Source organism: Homo sapiens, chromosome 10 (assembly GCF_000001405.40).
Source record: "Homo sapiens chromosome 10, GRCh38.p14 Primary Assembly".
In the NCBI taxonomy this organism is placed as follows: domain Eukaryota; kingdom Metazoa; phylum Chordata; class Mammalia; order Primates; family Hominidae; genus Homo; species Homo sapiens.
Window position 1 is genome coordinate 45,053,754 of NC_000010.11, and position 3,889 is coordinate 45,057,642.

The 3,889-nt window shown below is 37.7% G+C and overlaps 1 pseudogene; it reads left to right on the plus strand.

Moving 5' to 3' along the window:
• DUXAP4 (double homeobox A pseudogene 4) lies at window positions 1,860-2,904 on the plus strand (annotated as a pseudogene).

A 3,889-nucleotide genomic window follows, 5' to 3' on the forward strand; every position in this document is an offset into this window, starting at 1 on the left:
TGTATACCACATTTCTTCATTCACTCATCTGATGATTAACACTTAGGCTGATTTCATAACTTGGCTATTGTGAACAGTTCTGCAATGAATATGAGAGGGCAGACATCTTGTCAACAAACTGATTTCAAATATTTTGGGTAAATAACCAAAAGAGGGATTGCTAGATCATATGGTAAATCTATTTTCAGTTTTTTGAGGAACTGCCATATGGTTTTCCATAATGTCTGTACTAATTTACATTCCCACCAGCAGTATACAAGGATTCCTTTTTCTGTACTTCCTCACCAACACTTGTATCATTTGTCTTTTTGATCATAGCCATTCTGACAGGTGTAAGATTGTATCTCATTGTGGGTTTAATTTGCATTTTCCTAATGATTAGCAATGTTAAGCATTTTTTTCGTATATTCATTGGTCATTTGTAGGTATTCTCATGATAAAGGTCTATTCAGGTCCCTTACCAAATTTTTAATTGACTTTTAAATTTTTTTGCTATTGGGTTGTTTGAGTTCCTTATGTATTTTGGATATTAACCCACTATCAAATGTATGACTTGCAAATATTTTTTCTCAATCTGTAGGTTGTCTCTTCATACTGATACTCGTTTCCTTTGTTGTGCAGAAGCTTTTTAGTTTGAGGTAATGCCATTCATCTTTTCTTGCCAGTGCTTTGGGGTTTAATACAAAAAATTATTGCCCAGATCAATGTCATGTAGTTTTCCCCATGTGTTTTCTTCAAGTAGTTTTACAGTTTCCAGTCTTACATTTAAGACTATAATCCATTTTGAGTTTATTTTCATATATGTTTGAGATAAGGGTTTGATTCATTCTTCTGCATGTGAATATCTAGTTTTTCCAGCACCATTTATTGAAGATACTATGTTTTCCCACTGTGTATTCTTGGCACATTTGTCAAAATTAATTTACTGTGCATGAGTGAGTTCATTTCTGGGCTTTCTAGTCTGTTCTGTTTGTCAGTGTGTCCATTTTTGGTCAGTACCACATTGTCTTATTTGCTATAGCTTTGTGGTAAAGTTTGAAATCAGATAGTGCAATGCCTCCAGCTTTGTTCTTTTGCTCATTGATAGTGATGCTTAAGTAAAACCAAAATTATCCTGGGAATATAAAAAATAATATATCTGTTTACATTTTGGTGTGGGATGAGTAGAATCTTGTTTTCAAATTCCTTCTTTGAAAGGCTATTAAGAAGAATAAATCCTCACTTAACAGTTTTCTAATTCCTTGGTGGTATCCTCTGTCCTTTGGTAACATGTGAAAGTAGAGCACACTTTTCTATTTTTGTTCCTGCCGCACCCCTCATAAGGTGAAGCATGCATAGAGCACTCCCAGGGTCAGTGTGAGCCCAGCACCAGCTCAGGCTGCCGATGCTCCAGAGTTGGATTCCACCTTCCCCTTAAATGGCAGCCACAGGTAGACGTGCCCATCACAACCAACTCTGTGCGTTCATAATCTCTGTTTATCCTACAAGTGGTTTCTACATGAAAAATGGCACAATGTTTCTCAGAAGACAACTACATAAAAATCAGCATACTTAAATTCACAGCAAATAATCAATCGATGAAAATACTTACCCAAACACTAATTATAGACTATGCCTTCTGAATATATTTGTCATAAATTTGGAGTAAGGAATCCTCATAGGCACTGAACAATTCAAAAAATCCAAAGCTGTTTGTTAGAATACTGGTGCTTTTGGGTAGAAACTCTCATCCATATCCTGGTAAGGTTGAAGTTGCACAGGTGTTTTCATTTGTCAAAACCCAGAAAATCATATGCTTTAGATTTGTGAATTATGTTGTATTATATGCAATCTTTCTTTTTAAAAATGAGCTGTAAGCGGTCTCCCAGACAGTAGCTCAGCCTCTAGGACTCTCTTCCAGCATGGCTAAAGACACCTCTTCACACAAGATGGTAGCCACAAATCGCAGGAGCAATCACACCAAATTCACAGAAGATCAATTGAAAATCCTTATCAATACCTTCAATCAAAAACCTTACCCAGATTATGCTACCAAACAAAAACTTGCTTTAGAAATCAATACAGAAAAGTACAGAATCCAGATTTGGTTTCAGAATCAAAGAGCTAGGAATGGATTCCAGAAAAGACCAGAACCTGAGACTTTAGATTCAAGCCAGAGCCATGGGCAAGATCAACCTGGGGTGGAATTTCAAAGTAGAGAAGCCAGACGGTGTCATACCACCTACAGCGCCTCTCAATTACACACTCTCATCAAGGCATTTATGAAAAATCCATACCCTGGGATTGATTCCAGAGAACAACTTGCTGAAGAAATTGGTGCTCCAGAGTCAAGAGTCCAAATTTGGCTCCAAAAATTGAAGATCTAGATTTCATCTCCAGAGAAAAGGGAACCTGTTATGTCCTTAGAACAAGAAGACCAGGGGCAAGATTTCTGAGGGACTTCAAGGTACAGAAGATACACAAAATGGCACCAACCTCACTAGCACTCTCATTTCTCTAGAGCCAGAACATGGTGAACACAGTCAAGTTCAGTGTATTTGATATTATCAACTTGGGCCCTAAATCTCTCTCACAGTCTTCCTGGAGTCTATCCTTCTGCTGAAAGTGCAAGGTAAGCCTTCTGAAAATGGTAAAGGACTTGGCCGGGTGTGGTGGCTCACGCTTGTAATCTCAGCACTTTGGGAGGCTGAGGCAGGAAGATTGCTTGAGCCCAGGAGTTTGAAACCAGTCTGGGCAGCATAGTAAGACCCTGTCTCTATTATAAAAAACAAAATAAATAAAAAGGACTGTAGGAGGCCGAGACAGGTACAGGAGGCACCACACTACCCTATTGACACAGCCTGGATCCAGAGTTCGGCAGACTTTGAGACAATGAAAATAAACTTAGTAATAATCATTTTTCAATCATTGCAGTAATTATTGATTTGGATAAAAATCAGTTGACATCAAAACCTTAAAGTGACACTGCTCTGCCTATGGAGTAGCCATTCTTTTATTCCTTTAGTTTCTTAATAAATTTTCTTTCACTTAAAAAAAACCTTATAGTTCGATGAAGAATGAGATATATACCTCATCTTGAAGAATCTTCTCAAACACACTTATTAATTACAAAAGGAAAATCAGTAATTTTGCAGTGAAGAAATATGGCCAACTCCACCTTAACCAAGTGGCTGAAAGTCACTGCACCAGTAATGGCACAAACCAACATGAGATGCTTCCTGATATGATACACTAAAAAGGGCACAGTCTCTTCTGCATATTGCTGACAGAAAGTGGGTAAGCTGAAACTGAAACTAATAATTAGGCAATGTCAAGCAAACACAAATTCAGGTTGACAGTCTGCAAAGTAACATCCATGTACTCTTCAACAATGGATTGATCCTAGCTCAGGAGGCTGAGGCGGGAGGATTGCTTGAGGCCAGGAGTTCCAGATCAGCCTGGGCAACATGATGAGATCCCATCTCTACAAACATCACTGACTACACTGTGCTCTGCCCAGGGATCAGACCTCGAGTGCTGTCCTTGGAGTACCCAGCACTGGCTGAATGCTCTTCTATGCCCGGTTCATGTAAGGCTGGGGAGCAATGACAATTTTAGTGAATCCACATGCTCTGACTACATTTCATTTCACCAATGAAAGTCATTTTCTAATATTAATTATGCTACTTGAAAGTTACTTGTTTCACTAATGAAAACCCATTTTTGACATTCAATATGTTCATTTGCAAAACATTAAAACAATTTTTTATAAATTTATCTATTGTTATTTTTTAAATTCTGGTTAAATATATGAAACATAAAATTTACCATCTTTTTGTTTTGTTTTGTTTTGTTTTGTTTGAGACAGAGTCTTATGCTGTTGTCCAGGCTGGAGTGCAGTGGTGCAATC